The sequence below is a fragment of the Homo sapiens genome, chromosome 18, assembly GCF_000001405.40.
Source record: "Homo sapiens chromosome 18, GRCh38.p14 Primary Assembly".
In the NCBI taxonomy this organism is placed as follows: Eukaryota; Metazoa; Chordata; class Mammalia; order Primates; family Hominidae; genus Homo; species Homo sapiens.
In genome coordinates, this window is record NC_000018.10 from 74,564,263 (window position 1) to 74,583,858 (window position 19,596).

Below are 19,596 nucleotides of genomic sequence, written 5' to 3' on the forward strand. Positions count from 1 at the left end.
AAAAGACTTTGACCTCTCCTCTTAATGTGGTTCTCAAAGATATGAAGTTATAAATTATAAAGATATAAAAAGATCAAAACCAAATGGGGGAAGAAGCATGTTGTAAAAATTTTAAAGGAGCTAGTCCATGCCCTAATATTAACTAGAAAAAAACTCAAGTTCCATTTTGCTGCAAGATCAAAGCCTTTGAATAAGTTAAAAGGCAGATTGAAATCATAGCTGAAAAATAACAGCTACTTGAAGTAAAAATTATCCCGAGGCTTAACAATCTTTCAAAGGAAAATGTTCTCCTTTTTCATGCTCAGAATTATGAGGACAGAAAAGCGATTTGTAATTGCCTAACCTTTCTTGAAAAATTCCTTTTGGGGAGAAGGAGAAAAATGCCTCCCTCTGTAGCCACACAGGCAAGCTCTGTAGTATAGAATTTGCTTTTCTGTAGCTGCTCCTTTCCCCAATTCTTGATCATAGCATTAAATTGGCAGGACATGTTGGAGGGCACACACCGAGCATTACCTTGAATTCTCCTTCACAATCGTAGTTACAACTCCATTGCTGTAACAGAACTGTGGGGAATGCAAATTCATACATTGAAGGTAAATAATAATTTCATGTGTTTATGTTATATGCAAACAAATAGTGGATCTTCAAAGGTGAATGGGCAATGTATTAGTCCGTTTTCATGCTGCTGATAAAGGCATACCTGAGACTGGGAAGAAAAAGAGGTTTAATTGGACTTACAGTTCCATATGGCTTAGGAGGCCTCAGAATCATGGCAGGAGGCAAAAGCCACTTCTTACATGGCAGCAGCAAGAGTAAATGAGGAAAAAGCAAAAGCTGAAACCCCTGATAAACCCATTAGATCTCATGAGACTTATTCACTATCACGAGAATAGCATGGGAAAGACCTGCCTCCATGATTCAATTACCTCCCCGTGGGTCCCTCCCACAACATGTAGGAATTCTGGGAGCTACAGTTCAAGTTGAGATTTGGTGGGGATACAGCCAAACCATATCATTCCACCCCTGGCCCCTCCAAATCTCATGTCCTCACATTTCAAAACCAGCCATAATTTCCCAATAGTCCCCCAAAGTCTTAACTCATTTCAGCATTAACCTGAAAGTCCACAGTCCAAAGTCTCATCTGAGACAAGGCAAGTCCCTTCCACCTATGAGCCTGTAAAATCAAAAGCAAGCTAGTTACTTCCTAGATACAATGTCAGTACAGGTGTTGGGTAAATATAGCTGTTCCAAATGGGAGAAATTGGCCAAAACAAAGGGGTTACAGTGTCCATGCAAGTCTGAAATCCAGGGGTCAAACTTTAAAGCTCCAAAATTATCTCCTTTGAATCCAGGTCTCATGTCCAGGTTACACTGATGCTAGAGGTGGGTTCCCATGGTCTCGGGTGGCTCTGCCCCTGTGGCTTTGCAGGGTACAGCCTCCCTCCTGGCTGCTTTCATGGGCTGGCATTGAGTGTCTGCGGTTTTTCCAGGTGCACGGTTCAAGCTGTCAGTGGATCTACCATTCTGGGGTCTGGAGGACAGTGGCCCTCTTCTCACAGCTCCACTAGGGAGTGCCCCACTAGGGACTTCATGTGGGGGTTCCAACGCCACATTTCCCTTCCACACTGCCCTAGCAGAGGCTCTCCATGAGGGTCCCACCTCTGCAGCAAACTTTTGCCTGGGCATCCAAGCATTTCCATACATTTTCTGAAATCTAGTTAGAGGTTCCCACACCTCAATTCTTGACTTCTGTGCACCCGCAGGCTCAACACCACATGGAAGCTGCCAGGGCTTGGGGCTTCCACCCTCTGAAGCCACAGCCCGAGCTGTACATTGGCCCCTTTTAGCTACAGCTGGGGAAGCTGGCACACAGGGCACCAAGTCTCTAGGCTGTACACAATACAGGGACCCTGGGCCTGGCCCATGAAACCATTTTCTCCTCCTGGGCCTCCAGGCCTGTGATGGGTGGGGCTGCCGTGAAGGTCTCTGACATGACCTGGAGACATTTTCCCAGTGGTCTTGGGGATTAACATTAGGCTCCTTACTACTTATGCAAATTTCTGCAGCTGGCTTGAATTTCTCCCCAGAAAATGGGTTTTTCTTTTCTATCACATAGTCAGGCTGCAAATTTTCTGAACTCTTAAGGTCTGTTTCCCTTTAAAAACTGAATCCCTTTAACAGTACCCAAGTCACCTCTTGAATGCTTTGTTGCTTTGACATTTCTTTTACCAGATACCCTAAATCATCTCTCTCAAGTTCAAAGTTCCACAAATCTCTGGGGCAGGGGCAAAATGCCATGAGTCTCTTTGCTAAAACAAAACAAGAGTCACCTTTTCTCCAGTTCCAAAAAAGTTCCACATCTCTACCTGAGGCCACCTCAGCCTGGATTTTATTGTCCATATTGCTATCAGCATTTTGGGCAAAGCCATTCAATAAGTCTCTAGGAAGTTCCAAACTTTCCACATTTTTGTGTCTTCTTCTGAGCCCTTCAGACTGTTCCAGTCTCTGCCTGTTACCCAGTTCCAAAGTTGCTTCCAAATTTTTGGGTATCTTTTCAGCAACAACCCACTCTACTGGTACCAATTTACTGTATTAGTCCATTTTCATGCTGTTGATAAAGACATACCCAAGACTGGGAAGAAAAAGAGGTTTAATAGGACTTACAGTTCCACATGGCTGGGGAGGCCTCAGAATCACGACAGGAGGCAAAAGGCACTTCTTAGGTGGTGGCAGCAAGAGAAAATGCGGAAGAAGCAAACCCCTGATAAACCCATCAGATCTCATGAGACTTACTCACTATCACGAGAATAGCACAGGAAAGACTGGCCCCCATGATTCAATTACCTCCCCCTGGGTCCCTCCACAACACGTGGGAATTCTGGGAGATACAATTCAAGTTGAGATTTGGTGGGGACACAGCCAAACCACATCAGGCAACTTGTGCAATTTTTTTCTTCTGTTGTTACTTAGGATCTTCCTGTGAATATCAAATTCATCATTGAGGGGATGGAAGAGGCTGGCTCTGTTGCCCTGGAGGAACTTGTGGAAAAAGAAAAGGACCGATTCTTCTCTGGTGTGGACTACATTGTAATTTCAGATAACCTGTGGATCAGCCAAAGGAAGCCAGCAATCACTTACGGAACCCGGGGGAACAGCTACTTCATGGTGGAGGTATCCACAGAGAGCAGTGCATGGATGGAGGCCTGTGGGGGTTGTGAATGGGAGCACCAATCCATTCTGGGATCTTGGAGAGGAAGAAAGAAAGCTTTCCTGAGGGCAGAGGCCTTACCTGGGACACACGGCCTCAGGGGAGGTGGGGTGGGTGCAGAGGTCTTGGGGTTTGGGGAGGTCATGAACCCCCAACACTTGGAGTGGATGTGGCTATGTACCTTGTTCTGGAGAGGGGATTCACAGGGGTTTGTGACTTACAAAGCAAAGCTTGGAAACTCTGGCCATGGGATTTGCAGGCAGGTATGGCAGCCACAGGGAGGTAAGCAGACTGCGCGATCAATGCAGGGGCAACTGTGCTGTGTCCTGCTCCCAGCGTGGGCCTGCTGGCCACAGTGGCAGGAGACCCCAGTGCCGTGGTCACAGGGAAAGAGAAGGAACATTGGTGTCGCCCGAGGCCAGCATCTGAATCCTAGCTTCTACCATGCCCAGCCTTGTGCAGGTGGTTTCACCTTGAGCCTTGGTTTCCCACCTTGAAAGATGGTACAATAACGCCCCCTCCCAGGATGACTGTGTCATTACATGCAGCCTTTAGTTGAGGTTTGACGCATAATCAGTTTCCTTCCCCTTTTCTCTTTTTCTAGTAATACAGGCAATCTGTGATAGTGCATAAGACATAGAAAGTCCCTCCCGGGTAAATAGCTAATTATTTCATCATTTCAATCTGTTTTCTCATATAACAACGTGTAGGCTGATAATCCATGCTGTATCCAATCCCTAGGCAGTTTTGAGATTCAGATGTCAGCACATACACGGAAACACACATGGCTATGCGTGTGAAAAACAGTGAGTGCCTTCTATTTGTCAGATAGGAGGATGCTAAGTCCCAGGGGTATAGGACTGAATAAAATAGTCTCTGCCCTCAGGAAGTTTACTTCTAGTGAGACACAGATACTAAAGAGATGTGGGAGTGACAGAGAAAATAGGAAGCAGGGACTGTCCTCTAGAACCCGCTTTCAAGAAACATGGCTGTGAAAAGTGGGAGACAGCTGGGATGATGGCTAGAGGAAGCCCTTGGGAGGCAATAGACAGAGGGAGCAGTTGGAGACCTGGGAGGGAGGGGGAGAATTTTTGAGAACGAAGGCACTGAGGAGGTGGGAGGGGGCGAGCTCCAGACCCAGGGGAAGAAAATAACCTCTTCTGTGAGGGCTTTGGGTAGGTAGAGAGCTCCAAGTCCTAGAGCTTTTTCCCTCTTAGCGTCCATTTTTTTCTGTTTAGTAGGAAGTGAGTGTATCTGCAGAGAAGTGATGGCTTGAAGTGGTCACTTTGGGACAGGGGGAAGAGAAGGGATGGGAGGATGAAGAAGGGCCAGGCAGTGGTAAGGTCTGGAGTCATCTGTCCATGCAAATTGCTGGCTTTCTGCAGCATGCTCAGTGGCCAGGGACAGAGAAGGCTGGCCCAGGGGTTGAGGTTACCCCAGAGGGTTGTGGTGGAGAAAGTAGGGAAGAGCTCATCAAGGTGTTGAGCACAGAGGGGCTGAGGTGATCAACGGTGGTATTCAGGTTGAACAGGGGAAAAAACAAAGGCAGGAGGGCAATGTGGGACATCTTGGAAGGGTCAAGGGACTGACGTCTTAATGAAGACCGAGAACAGGTGGTACAGCAACGTTACAAGAGAGGACAAGGGGAGCTGTCATCAGAATGTGAGACAGCCAGCTCAAGCTTTCGAAGTGAGACCGTCCACACTCCAGAGTAATTTAGCTAGCATTATTGCCTAGTGAACGGAAAGTCTTAATGCTAAAGTGACCATACCGAAGATTGCTCTGGTGCCACATTGAAGATGAAGAGGAACAGAGAAAGACCAGCTGGGCAGGAAGGATGGGAGGGAATGAACTGAAGAATCAACTTCAAAAAAGCCCAACCTGTAGAAATTGGTAATTGATTGGATATGGCGTATATAGGAGAAATCATGCTGGTAGGAAGTAATTGCAGAAGAGATTGAGTTTGGGTCTAGATCTCCTGAGTTTTGGAAACTGGAAGCATGCTCAAGTGGAAGGCACCGTAAGCATTCCAGAGTTTTAGGTCTGGTGTTTAAGTAGAAGGTCAGACCTCCAGGGATGAACATTGAAGGGCATGGTTGTATTAATAGCATCTCTGCCCTTAAATTAGCGTGAGCACCGCATGGTCAGAGATAACCAGGTCCACACATGTTTGTGTCATTCCACAATGTCAGGCTTTTACTGATGCTATCTCAATAATAAAAGCCATGGGCTCCATGGAGTTCCCAAGGAGGCAATTCTCCTTAGTGCCTCCCATTCATTCAGAAGTCAGAGCGCAGGCACACAGGCTCAAGCTACTCCACAAGGCAGTCAGTATTGTAAAGCATACATTGTGGTATACCTAGCCAATATGTGAATGTTATAGACTGAACATTCCACAACAAACAAAGTAACATTTACCATCAAGAGAGAAGGAGCTGGGCACAGTGGCTCATGCCTGTAATCCTAGCACTTTGCGAGGCTGAGGCGGGTGGATCACCTGAAGTCAGGAGTTCAAGACCAGCCTGCCCAACATGGTGAAACCCTGTCTTTATGAAGAAAATACAAAAAAAAAAAAAAAAAAAGCTGGGCATGGTGGCGTGCACCTGTAGTCCCAGCTACTTGGGAGGCTGAGGCAGAAGAATTGCTTGAAGCTGGGAGGCGGAGATTGCAGTGAGCTGAGATCATGTCACTGCACTCCTGCCTGGGTGACAGAGCAAGACTCTGTCTCAAAATAATAATAATAATAATTAATAATAATAATAATAAATAATTAAAAAAAAAGAAAAGAAAAGTGATAGGAAAACAGGTTAATGAACCAGTCCAGGGAGAGTGACGTAGACAAAAAGAAATCCTGGCTTGGCCCGGGTGGTCCAGTGGTCTTGTAAGGAAGAGACTTTGATCTGGGCAGAGCCTTTGGTGGCAGATGCTGGGCGCTTAGCACAAGTGACAGCAGGACAGTGTCTGTTAAGTTTTGAGCTGCTGACATCCTGGTCGTTTTATGACTGCCAAGTCCTCTGATAAGAACTGATAGTGGAAGAATGTGTTTGGCTATGTCCTTATCCAGCTGGAAGCAGTCTTTATTGATCAGGCAGAACATCTAGTCCCTGTTGGCAAAGTCCCTTAGGAAAAGTAAGATGGAGTCTTTTTCTAAGATGGAGTCACTTATGTCAAGGGTGCCATATACATAGACACTATCCTGTGAGCTCTTGAAGCTCAGGTAGAGGAAGGATGAGCCAAGTATTAAGCTTTAGAGGTGGAGGAAGAAGAGATGTTATTACAGGAGGTATCAATAGAATTGTCCTGCAGGTAAGAAAAGAAGAAAGAGAAGAAAGCTTCTCAGAAATCAAGGGAAGAGAATTTTTCCAGAAAGAGGAGTGATCAACAATATGGGATGAAACCAAAAGGAAGACAGCTGTGTAAACATCAATCATTTGGCCAAGGAGAGCCTGGTGATCTTGGCTAGAATAGAGTTGGTGGAAGAGCTGAGGAATGAGTCAGTTTCAGGGGATTCAAGAGATGGTGGGAATGAAGCAATCGACAGCAGGTAGGAAATCCAGTCCCCATGACTGAGAAACACAGAAAGTGAAGTCAGGTCTGGATGTTGCCTACCTGAGTTCTGAGGGACACACGCAGATATGTATTTCACCATGTGAAATGCTTACACTAAAGGAACCAAGGCAGGAAGTATATCTCTTACCTTTTATCTACTCTGCAGGTGAAATGCAGAGACCAGGATTTTCACTCAGGAACCTTTGGTGGCATCCTTCATGAACCAATGGCTGATCTGGTTGCTCTTCTCGGTAATGCCTTATTTTGTTTCACTTTTTAAGCATCAGGGATCAACTAAAAGACAGCTCTACTTGATTTTATGTGCCTCTCCTTGCTTTCTGAACCAGCTCTGAACAAGGGTGTAGATGCTTAGATTTTCCTCCCCTTGGCAAACTGTTCCCTCCACTTATAAGTAAGTCTGCATTATTTCTTTTCATGGACTGAAACTCTTCTTCAGTTCATCCATTTTGTTTTATTGGACATTGTGACACATAGCCATACTTAAGGACAAGAGGGCAGAGACTCAAAGGATACAAAAGACTGACAGGCCACCCTGACTCCCTTACTGGTGCTCCTAGAATGCCGGGCCGGGTGGAGGTGTGGTATTCCCAAGCAGCTGAACCACAAGTTCAACTTCAGTAGACCTGGCATGACTTTTTGACTGAAGATAAATCAACAAAGGGATGATCAAAAGGGAAAGGAACTAAGCGACACACCAGGTGAGGCCCTTCACCCACTTTCTCAAGAGCATCTTGTTTTTCACGACAGACTGGCCCTTCCGCAGACCAGCCTGCACCTTGTAGCATGTGGGTTCTGGGTGTGGGTGACCAGGTATGTCCTTGCTCTGCCACAGACCACCTGTACGACCTTGGTAAGTTACTTGAGTTCTCTAGTCTTTGGTTTCTCATTTGTAAAGGGGCACAATCGTCTGTTCACCTAGTATTGCTTTTAGGATGCAAAAAGGTGATGTGTGCAGAACGCTTGTCACGGTGGCTGGAATGCAGCATGTCCATCAGTGAGTAATGGCCTGCCCTGGCCTGACTCCAGAAATGGTGTCAAATATGTCAGCACCACTTGGCTTCATTTTTCAAGGTTGCTGTGGCCCCGAGTGGCACAGCGACGCCGACGAGTTCCCCGATTGTCCTGGTGCTGTCCTTGATTTCCCATGGATTGCTGGTGTGTGCAAGAGGAAGTTGTATGTTTTTCTCGGGGAGCCTGTTTGCTCAGGCTCAATTCACCTACAGCTCTTCTAGGCATCAGAGCTGCCCATAGTGGGTTCCCTGGGAAGCTAAGGAAGTTTAAACTCCAGGGGCCTCACTTACAGGAGCTCCTTCCACAGTCCTGGAAGGGACACTCATCATTTTATATTCATAATTTGGTGTTCTTTTAAAAAAGAGGTTCACACATTACCTATGCTTTAGACCCTGCAACACCTCGCTGTGCTCCACTTGGCATGTATAGCTCCTTTATGCAAATTTCACAACATGGCCAGGCATGGTCACTCACGCCTGCAATCCCAGCACTTTGGGAGGCCAAGGTGGGTGGATCAGTTGAGCTCAGGACTTTGAGACCAGCCTGGGCAACATGGTGAAACCCTGTCTGTACAAAAAATACAAAAGTTAGCCAGGCATGATGGTGTAGGCCTGTAGTCCCAGCTATTTAAGGGGCTGAGGCAGGAGGGTCGCTTGAGCCCGGAAGGCAGAGGTTGCAGTGAGCTGAGATAATCGTGCCACTGTACTGCAGCCTGGGCAAAAGAACAAGACCCTGTATCAAAAAAAAAAAAAAAAAAAAAGAAAGAAAGAAAGAAAGAAAAATAATAGAAAAAGCAAAAAAAAAATGTTTAATAATGTGCCCCTTTTGGGCAGACAAATTGCCAGAAAGCATTTACTCCCTTGGCCTCAGTAGTCCAGGCCATGGTACAATCAGCCCAGATGGCCCAGGTGTTGGGAGGATCTTCTCAAGGTCTTCAGCATCATTTTTAGTTGCACAGCTTTCTCCTTCATTCTCCCAAACTGAATAATGAAATTTACCTATATTTCTACCATCTATCTAGCTATCCATCTATCCATCTATTATCTATCCATCTATCTTTCTATTCATCCATCCAACTATCCATCCATCCATCTATTATCTATCCATCTATCATCTTTCTATGCATCTATCCATCCATTATCTATCTATCCATCTACCTATCATCTATCCATCCATCCATCCAACTATCTGTCTATCCATCCATTATCTATCCATCTATCATCTTTCTATCCATCCATCCATCTATCCATTCATCCATCTATTATCTATCCATGTATCATTTTTCTATCCATCCATCCATTCATTATCTATCCATCTATCATCTTTCTATCCATTCATCCATCCATCTATCCACCCATTATCATCTATCCATCCATCCAACTATCTATCTATGTATCTATGTATCTATCTATCTATCTATCTAATCTATCTATTCTTCTATGGCCTTCTAGTTTTCCTGAAATATAGCTCTTGGATGATATTTCCCATGCTTGACAATTCAGACGGAATACACCCAGCCATTTTCCCTTAAAGAGTTTAAATGGTTTCCAGAAGAATCAGATGGTATGCAACTCACAATTTTGGGGAGTGGAGGTTAATTTTCTGTTTTACCAGAATGAATGTTTCCTTCCCTATGAACTGCATCTGAAATCTTTAGGAGCACATTTTGCTCTTCCCACAAGCATGATTGCTGCATGGCATCTTTTTCGGCTGCGTGGCTTCAGCCAGGCATCGGATTCCGTGCAGCCCCACAAAGGCACATTGCTCTGCTAAGGAAGAGTCGGCTCGGGCTCATGAATGAAGTCAAAAACGTGGTTTGACTTTCTTTAGTTCTTGATACAAATCAAATAATCCACAGCACAGTAATTTCTGGATTGTGTCCTCTATGTGGTTTTCATATGTTTTGTACAAAAACATAAGGACATAGTGTTGAGCTTTAGTGTTTATGAGATGACAAGCAGGAATTTTGCTTGCCGACAGGCTGGGCTGTAGTGGAGATGCCCGGACTTCCAGGGACCCCTGATGTCAGGTGAGAGTCGGCTGTGCTGTGTCCACTCCTGCAGGCTGACAAGCAGGCATACACACTAGTCAGGATGTGGGAATCCACGGGCAGCCCTTGCCTTGTGCAAGCCTCCTCACCTCTCTGTCTCTGCTGTGATCATGAACAGACAATAAACGCTAGTGAGCGCCAGCTCTGTGAAATGCATGATAACCTCCACTAAGGTACAAAGCAAAACCAAGTTAGTTCCCTGTCTGAAAAGGGGCTTAGTATGCAGGGGAGGCAGGAGCTGCTAAGAGGATACTTGTGTTTACAAATCGAGCTCTAACCTTCTGTAGTTTCCCTTTGCAGACACTTTCCTATTCTTTGCATTTCCCTAAAAGCCATAAAACAGAAAAGGCCATTGTACCAAGGGCATTTTTATAAGCAGCAAATATGTGATGTTATTTAAAATGTTCAAATCCAAGATGGCTGCTAGGCATGCAGGATTCTGTTTCCTGTGGGCAGTTTTCAAAGGCACCTTCTGCCTTCCCCGCACTTCCCAAGAAGGCTGTGGTAACTGCAGAAATGACATCACGTCATGATTACAAGAGGAAAATGAACAGGAGGGGAGGGGGCGAACTCTTAAGCATACTATTTTCATTCAAATGCTTTCAATATTAAAGAACTAGGGCAAAGAAATATGGAAAATGGGATCTGTGAAGCAGCATTATTTCTGAATAGCACAGACATCAATGGCTCCCCTTTCCCTGTGATGGCGTTTCAGGCAGGGCCAAAGTGACTGAGCCGTACTCCACAGCTCTCTAATCAGATTTTTCTGCAAGCATATTAAAAGGGAAAGGAAGGCCAGGTGCAGTGGCCACAATTGTGCCACTGCACTCCAGCCTGGGTGGCAGAGCAAGCTCTGTCTCAAAAAAAGGAAAGAAAGAAACAGAGAAAAGGAAGAAAGGAAGGAAAGGAGGGGAAGGAAAGGAAGGGAGGGATGGAGGGAAGGAAGGAGAGAAAGGAAAGAAGAAAGAAGGAAGGAAAGAAAGGAAGGAAGGAAAGAAAAAAGAAGGAAAGAAAGGAAGGAAGGAAAGAAAAAAGAAAGAAGAAAGAAAGAGAAGGAAGGAAGGAAGGAAAAGGTAAATGAGGAAATCCTCTTTCTCTTCCTTCTCCCAGTCCAGCAATAGGGAAGGCTGCTTTGTATACTGAGAGAATAAAGTTGTAATTTAAAATGATGCCGAGAACAGAGGCCTGGATCGTTTTACTAGTGAGGTACAGTGCGTGCTTAGAAGGCACGCACTCTGCAACTCTGTCCTTACGCAGAAGACTGTCAGCAGAAGTTTAGGGACATATGCTCAAGAGGAGATCTCATGACTGCATTATCAGTGGGGACTCATTAAGCTGCCCTGGAGACATTTTTGTGTCATTTATATCAGTCTACTTCCTGGCTGCATTTTGCCTTTGATACGTATTTTCTACAGAGAGTGGGCGGTATTTACTAAATCTCAACATCTGCTGCTCTTATGGATATTTAGTGATGATTTTTTCCATTTGTATTGATCTCCAAACTCTTTCATGAAGAGCACACTAGTGTATACAGGGGATTTTGTGGTCATGATGGTATCTCATAGAGTAGACCTGAAGGGTATAATGCTTTTAATTAAAAATGAGTCTTTATTATAATATACTCTGTGTGTGTGTGCGTGTGTGCGCGTGTGTGAAGGGGAAGAGAAGTTGAGAAGGGATGACAAAAATTTTTGGTTTCTCAGGTATGTATGTATGTAGGTGTGTATACATGTGTGTGTGTGTGTGTGTGTGTGTGTGTGTATACATTTTTTTTTTTTTTTTTTTTGAGACGGAGTCTCGCTTTGTCGCCCAGGTGGGAGTAGAGTGGCGTGATCTGGGCTCACTGCAACCTCCGCCTCCTGGGTTCAAGCGATTCTCCTGCCTCAGCCTCCCCAGTAGCTGGGACTACAGGCACGTGCCACCATGCCCTGCTAATTTTTTGTATTTTTAGTAGAAACAGGGTTTCATCATGTTAGCCTGGAGGTCTCAATCTTCTGACCTTGTGATCTACCTGCCTCGGCCTCCCAAACTGCTGGGATTTCAGGCATGAGCCACCGCGCCTGGCCGTATAATTTTTTTTTTGAGACAGAGTCTGACTTTATCACCCAGGCTGGAGTGCAGTGATGTGATCATGACTTACTGCAGCCTCAACTTCCTGGGATCAATGATCCTCCCACCTCAGCTTCCCAAGTAGCTGGGACCACAGGCATGTGCCACCATGCCCTGCTAATTTTTGTATTTTTTGTAGAGACAGGGTCTCGCCACGTTGCCCAGGCTGGTTGGGAATTCCTGGGCTCAAGCGATCCACTTGCTTTGACCTCCCAAAGTGCTGGGAGTACAGATGTGAGCCACCGCACCCAGCATGTATTTTAAATGTTTTATAATGAACACATATTACTTTTAAAATCAGGATAAGACAAAACTAAAAAACCTTGTTTATGTATAAAAGGCATAGCTGAGAACGTGAACATGATGCAGGTAACTCACTCCGACCTCATTTGTTGCAGGCCCAGGTGTTTTCAGCCACACCTTTGACAAGGTGAACACTAAAGCAGGGCGGACTCCAGCTGCGTGATCCTGGTGACCAACTCCTTTCTCTGACAGTCACTTCTTGGATGGAGTTGCTGCCAATGGCTTTGGCCACGGGGACCCAGACAGTCAAGAGGCCTGCTGCAACCCTGAAGAGTCCTCCCACAGTCTGGCTCCAGGACCACAACATTGGCACACTCCTTTCTACCTGGCTTTGTTTTCTGTGTGTGTTTTGTAGGTAGCCTGGTAGACTCGTCTGGTCATATCCTGGTCCCTGGAATCTATGATGAAGTGGTTCCTCTTACAGAAGAGGAAATAAATACATACAAAGCCATCCATCTAGACCTAGAAGAATACCGGAATAGCAGCCGGGTTGAGAAATTTCTGTTCGATACTAAGGTATGGCCACAGACTGATGGATAAGCTGGAAGAGGCATGAGGCTAGTATATCATATTTGCCCTCTGTCTAAGTCATTGTCTGGTGCTAATCTCCGTATCTTAGAATCCAAAGCAGATGTGAATTCCCAGGCATATTTTTGACATTCACAGCCACTTCCCCGTGGGCTGGATCAACCAGTCCTTTTTCAATGGCGTCTAATTGGCACTGGCTTCTGGCACTTAACCACAAGCAGTTACCCATTTCCCAGCCATGTTTTCCAAAGCTGTTCATTAACCTAAATCCCACGTCAGCCTTCAGCCAGTGAGCTGGACTTCTTACCTTTTCAAAGACCAAGAAAAGTCTGAGATGATTCCAGCTCCAAGACCTCTAACTGTTCATTTTTCCAGACAAAACCAAGAGCCTTAGGGGCTAATCTGTAAGTGAATACATCATTGTCTCAGTGGACTAAGTAAACACAAAGCTGAAAACATTCCTTACAGGCAAATTTCGAATTGTTTTGCTTTTCTCTTCTTCCTCTTTCTGGGCAGCATGCTTGCCTGACAAGGTGTTTGGTAGCTAGGGCTGGTTCCTGGGGAAGGGGCCGAGAGGGGGAAAAGCAAGCTGAAAAGAAGCGGTAGAGTGAATTATTATGAAGCAGGCATCTTCTTGCAGACCAGCTCCAGGATGGCCAGAAGAAAGAAAACTGGCTTAAACATCTGAAGAGTTATTTGATGTCTTCTGAATAAGAAAATGCTTTCATTACATAAGTTATTATTGTAATTTGGGGTTAGAAATTTATAATTGAACCCACGTTTCTGAAAGGGCTCCTTTATCTATGGCCATACCACACTGAACGTGCCCGATCTCGTTTGAAAGGGCCCCTTTGCCATTTGTTAACTGAAAACTGCAGATCTTGGGCAAAGAGGGGCACTCATCAATGGGGAGCATTGGTAGTGATGGGTAGTGAAGGCATCTGAGGACAGCAGAGAGTTTGTGTCCTGAGGAAAAAGTCCTTGCGTGAGGCACAGCTGAGTAAGGTGACAGTTAACGTGTCCTGAATGGTGTCTCAGAGAGGCAGAGGGTGGTAACACAAGCAACCCAGGTCCACTGGGTTCTAATTAAGCATCCTTTGGATAATTTTATTTTAATATAGGAGGAGATTCTAATGCACCTCTGGAGGTACCCATCTCTTTCTATTCATGGGATCGAGGGCGCGTTTGATGAGCCTGGAACTAAAACAGTCATACCTGGCCGAGTTATAGGAAAATTTTCAATCCGTCTAGTCCCTCACATGAATGTGTCTGCGGTGGAAAAACAGGTAACAAATGCTTATTGTGACAATAACATGTTTCAGTAACATGGTTTCTGAATCCCGCACATCACGGCTTAGTGAGCAGTGAGGTTGCTACCATTGGAGTATCATTTTTTTCCAACACAAGAGGAGTGGAACAAATGTCAAGAAACCAATATTGCCCAGTGCAGTGACTTGTGCCTGTAATCCCGGCACTTTGAGAGACCAAGGCTAGAGGATCCCTTAAGCCCAGGGGTTTAAGGCTGCAGTGAGCTATGATAGCACCACTGCACTCCAGCCTGGGTGACAGAGCAAGACACTGTCTCTTAAAAAAACAAACAAAAAGAATCCAGTCTTTTCCCTCAAGTATATGCAATTACAGCAGTCAGATAAATAACCATTTGAAACTAGTGTGCTAGGAAAATTTGAAAGTTAGATGGTAGATATAAAAGCAAGATTGGTTTACACATAGATGGAGTAGGGACCTGCCTATGCTTGGACAGAAGCAGAAAGTCTCAGGCCTCAATCATTAGATCTTCATGATGTCTGAAATTAACACTTTGGAAGCAGTCATTTTAAGGAAAATATTTTCTAGAAGGAGTTATGTGTCCAAATTACCAACCAATCATCAATTTGCCTCAAGTTAGTTTAACAGAAAGTAGACTCTTGAATGAATGAGCTAAAGAAATATTTCATCCCAACAGTCATTCTCTCTCCATCCCATTATCCCCCTTTATTGTCTTGTTAGCACTAATTACATTCTAAAGTAGTCTCTCTTTCTCCCTCCCGGCTTCCTCCCCTCCTCTCTTCCCTCCCTCCTTCCTTCCTTCCTTCCCTGCCTCTCTCCTGCCCTCTCTCCTCCCTCTCTCCCTTCTCCCTTCTCCCTTTCCTTCCCTTCCCTTGCCTTCCCTTCCCTTCCCTTCCCTTCCCTCACCTCCCCTCTCCTTTCCTTTTTCTTCCCTCCTGTTCCTTCCTCCCGCCCTCCTTCCATCCTTCCTTCTCCTCTCCCCACTCCCTTCCCCTCCCCTCTCCATCCCCTCCCCCTCCCCTCCCCCTCCCTTCCCTTTCCTTTTATCTTTCTCTCCTTCCTCCCTTCCCTTCTTTCTTTTTGGAGGTGCTACCCCCTTTTCTCACAACATATAAACTCCATGAGGGCAGGGCCTTCCTTGTCTTGTTCACAGCTGTATCCGCAGCACCTAGAACAGTCTCTGGGACATGACACGTGTTCTATAAATGTGTGTTGAAGTAATTAATGGAAGAAATTTGAATATGGCACCTCCCCGGGAGACTCTCAACAGTAACAATGAAAAAAGAGCAGGAGGGGAGAGAACGAGGCTGAAATGAGGCTCTCCATAGTTGAGCCTGGAGTTGCTCCCACGTCTTGGAAATTTCCCAAATACTTAATGCTTCCAAATCATTCACAGGGTACTGAGGAGTCCAAAAAGAGGACGATTCAAAAGAGAAGTCCTGCTGTGTTAGGCTTCATCACTTTCAACAAGTGATGCTCCAGCACCTCTGTGTGTGTGAGATGCTGTGGTTGGAAGGGGGTGGGCCGGGGCCAGGAATGCAGGGTAGAGGATAGAGGGGAATCTCCCTCTGGGTACAGCTCAGGGTTTCCTGCTGTCAGCACTGAAGAAGGATCTCACTCTCGCCCTCTGGCAGAGTGAAGGGAAAATCACAACACTTGCGTGTGTCAGGCTGGGGCTTCAGTTTCTTGATGGAAGAGGCTATATTAACTGTACTAATCAGTTTCTTGATGGAAGACTATATTAACTGTATGAGAGAATAACTTGACACTTTCTCTTATCATTGAAAATGTCACCTTTTAGGTGACACGACATCTTGAAGATGTGTTCTCCAAAAGAAATAGTTCCAACAAGATGGTTGTTTCCATGACTCTAGGACTACACCCGTGGATTGCAAATATTGATGACACCCAGTATCTCGCAGCAAAAAGAGCGATCAGAACAGGTGGGACCTTAAGATCTTCTGACTGGCCAATCTGCACTGGGACTCAGGGGTGGTACCCGTGGGACCGTGGGTAAAGCAGACACTTTTAAAACTCAGAAATCAACTCTCCTTTTAATACAGAGCACATTGTTGAATGCATGCCATGTGCAGGGCACGCTATACACGCCATCTCAAGTCATCCTCCCAATGGCCTTCCCCATCTAACAGAGGAATAAATGCAGGCTTACAGACATGAAGTATTTTGCCAAAGGGTGCCCAGCTCACAAGGGGCAAAGCCTGTGTTCAAATTTAAGTCTGGAGACCTGAATTTTGAAGAAAATGATGGACTAGAAAATCTTCAACCCCCTCCCCCTGAATACAAACTCATAGAAATGTTGGCCAACATGTAAAAACATCCTTTCAAAACACAGATTAGCCCAGGTGTGATGGCTCAAGCTTATAATCCCAGCAGTTTGGGAGGCAGAGGCAGGAGGATCGCGTGAGCTCAGGAGTTCAAGACCAGCCTGGGCAATATGGTGAGACCCCCATCTCTATAAAAAATATAAAAATTAGCTGGGCGTGGTGGCACATGCCTGTAGTGCCAGCTACTCAGGAGGCTGAGGCAGAAGCATGGCTTGAGCCCAGGAGGTTGAGGCTGCAGCAAGCTATGATCATGCCACTGCCCTCCAGCCTGGGGGACAGAGTGAGACCCTGTCTCAAAAAATGAAAAACAAAAAATACAGCTTAGCTTGTATGACATCAGAGGAAATCCTTCAGGGTTGAAAATGAAGGAGAAGCTAAATTCTAGGGGAGTAAATAAGCAGACCCTGGGCTGGCCGGCAGGGATCTGCTCTTCCTGGTCACAAAGAGACTGGGGCTTTAATGGCCTTGGGCCAGAGTGAGGCAGGAAGTTGAAAATGAGACCCATTATATACAGGCAGGGCATCCCCGGAGAGCCACACCTATCCTGTGTGTGTGTGTGTGTGTGTGTGTGTGTGTGTGTGTGTGTGTGTAAGCTTGACTGCCTTTGCTTGGACGTTGGACGGACACAAGGTCTCCCCTGAGAATTTTTAACCATGGACCCTTGCTCCTGTGGGTTTGGGTGTTTAATTTTACCTAGTGTGTGGTCTGGTTCTCACTAGTGCCATGGCTGGACTGCCTGCTGATGCAAGCACAGCATTGCCCAGGAGGACACAGCCCCCAGGCAGGCCAAGGAGATTCCACAGGAGCTTCCTGGAGATGAGCTCACTGTACACAATTGCAAAACACATGAGAAACCCAGTTCTGGTGTTTCTGACCCTCAAGCCAGTGGTCTCTTCACAATGCCACATTGCTTCCCCAGAAGGCAGCACAGCTCTATTTGGAACTTCTTTGGTGGTGCCTGTTTTAATTCCATGCACTTCAAGGTCCTGGGTAGAGCCATGTGCTGGGCTGAGCAGAGGGCGTGTACTTGGGTGCTGGCTGTGGCGTCAGGGAGCAGGGACACCCAGTCTTTTTGGCTTCTGCACCAGGAGGGGGACCCTGCCAACAATAGCAGAATGGGGGCTCTTCCCAAAGCAGGGGGTTCTAGGTCTCTCCCAAAGCTAGGTGGAAAAGCAGTGGCATGCATTTAGGTAGACCTATGGCATCCTATTACAGATGAGGCCTGAGGCCACATTGGCTAATGGTGGCAAAGCCAGAAAGGGAAGCCCAGATCTCTTTGAAGCACTAACTCTCTCTCAGGGTTATCAGTACAAGGGACACAGACACGGAAAACTACAGATCAAGTCCAAGACAGGGAGCCATGCTTCTTTCCATCACCATTCCTGCTGCCCCCAACCTTAGCAGGTATTTCGCCAGTAAACTTTAGGATTGAAGAAATGTAATGGCAGCTGAAGAGAGGTGTGTGTTTGAAATACCCAGGTTGACAACAATAAATAGGTCTGAAATAGCCTTTCAGGAATGCATAAGACACCTTTCGGTCTATTTGTGTGCTAAACTGGTTCTGCGAACGAGGCACATCACTTCGATTCACGTCCACATCTTTCTTTGTGAATAAAGAAGAGGTGGCATGTTCTCTCTGGTTTCTTTGTTTCATTTTTCATCCCACTCCATCACTGGCAGCATGTCCGGTAAGCTAGAAGGTTTGAACTCATCTCTTTCTAAAACCTACGATAGCAGTTAAAACTATTTTGTGCAATACTTTGAAAATTGCTAGAAACACTGTGACATTTGAGCGATAGTACAGCTATTGGCATATCTGTCACCAAAAAACCCAAAGAAGTCCCACTTCCATAATATTTAATTCATGAAGAAACAATATAGGGACATTGTCTTGTGTCGTGCCAAAAATGCATGACCTCTTGCAATCACAAGATAACATCAGACAAACCCAGAGTGAGGGATATTTTACAAAACTACCGACTGATAAGCTTCAAGATGGTCAAGGTCATGAAAGACAAGGAAATACTGAGAAACGTCTGCAGCATACAAGAAACTAAGAAGCAATAATAAAAATGCAGTGTGGATTCTGGATCAGATCCTGGAAGGGAAAAAGGGAAAGACCGGTGAAATTGAAAGTCTGGAGTGTAGTTAACAACATTGCACCGTTGTCAGTTTCCTTGTTTTGATCATTTTGCAATAGTTACATAAGACGTTCATATCAGGGAAAGCAGAGTAAGAGATAGATGGGAGCTCTCTCTCTACTATTTTTGCAACTTTTCTAAATTCTACACTTTTCTAAAATTAGTTCAAAATAAAATTTTTATTTACAATTGTATTTATTTATTTATTTAGAGACAGAGTCTCGCTCTGTCACCCGGGCCTGAGTGCAGTTGCAAGATCTCGGCTCACCGCAACCTCCATCACCCACGTTCAAGCGATTCTCCTGCCTCAGCCTCCTGAGTAGCTGGGATTACAGGCATATACCACCATGCCCAGCTAATTTTTGTATTTTTAGTAGAGACGGGGTTTCACCATGTTGGCCAGGCTGGTCTCAAACTCCTGACCTCAAGTGATCCGCACACCTCAGCCTCCCAAAGTGCTGGGATTACAGGCATGAGCCACTGCACCTGGCTCTAAAATCTTTTTTAAAGTAGGTAATTGTGAAGAAGACATCCATAGTTTTCTTCTTGACTCTAGTGTCTATCTTAGAATATAATTGCATGATATCAAGGGGCTTCCTTACCCCAAAGCACCAAATCTAATGGTAAAAAAAGAAAGATTAACAAGGAAAAAGAGAGAGGAAGGTAAAGGAGGCACTGACCTTGAGGAGCTTCCTGGGGGTGTTCTTGTCCTTACCCTATTCAAATGCCTTCTTTTCCTGTCTCAGTGTTTGGAACAGAACCAGATATGATCCGGGATGGATCCACCATTCCAATTGCCAAAATGTTCCAGGAGATCGTCCACAAGAGCGTGGTGCTAATTCCGCTGGGAGCTGTTGATGATGGAGAACATTCGCAGAATGAGAAAATCAACAGGTCAGCTGATGCCTGTGCAATGTGCCTCTCTCTTCTTCCTTTACTGCACACACCCGGGTCTACACGTGGGTGAGCTCCTGTTCAATTTATGTGAGAATGGAAAATCGTCCAGACTGGGAGCTTAAAGAACAGACATTCATTCCTCACAGT

General features: G+C 45.5%; 1 protein-coding gene and 1 long non-coding RNA gene across 2 annotated transcripts in view; one reads left to right on the forward strand and one right to left on the reverse strand.

Moving 5' to 3' along the window:
- The window catches only part of CNDP1 (carnosine dipeptidase 1), a 52,713-nt gene that overhangs the window by 29,763 nt on the left and 3,354 nt on the right, over window positions 1-19,596 (forward strand). The window contains exons 6-11 of the mRNA NM_032649.6: window positions 2,971-3,171; window positions 6,924-7,008; window positions 12,607-12,767; window positions 13,901-14,065; window positions 15,868-16,009; window positions 19,299-19,446. Of these exons, the coding sequence (NP_116038.4) occupies window positions 2,971-3,171; window positions 6,924-7,008; window positions 12,607-12,767; window positions 13,901-14,065; window positions 15,868-16,009; window positions 19,299-19,446 (902 nt within the window). The remainder of the gene's footprint in view (window positions 1-2,970; window positions 3,172-6,923; window positions 7,009-12,606; window positions 12,768-13,900; window positions 14,066-15,867; window positions 16,010-19,298; window positions 19,447-19,596) is intronic.
- LOC124904324 (uncharacterized) lies at window positions 16,102-19,415 on the reverse strand. The gene is made up of 2 exons (XR_007066415.1): window positions 19,233-19,415; window positions 16,102-18,509 (listed from the first exon to the last, which is right to left on the reverse strand). It is a non-coding gene; the product is annotated as an uncharacterized LOC124904324 (long non-coding RNA).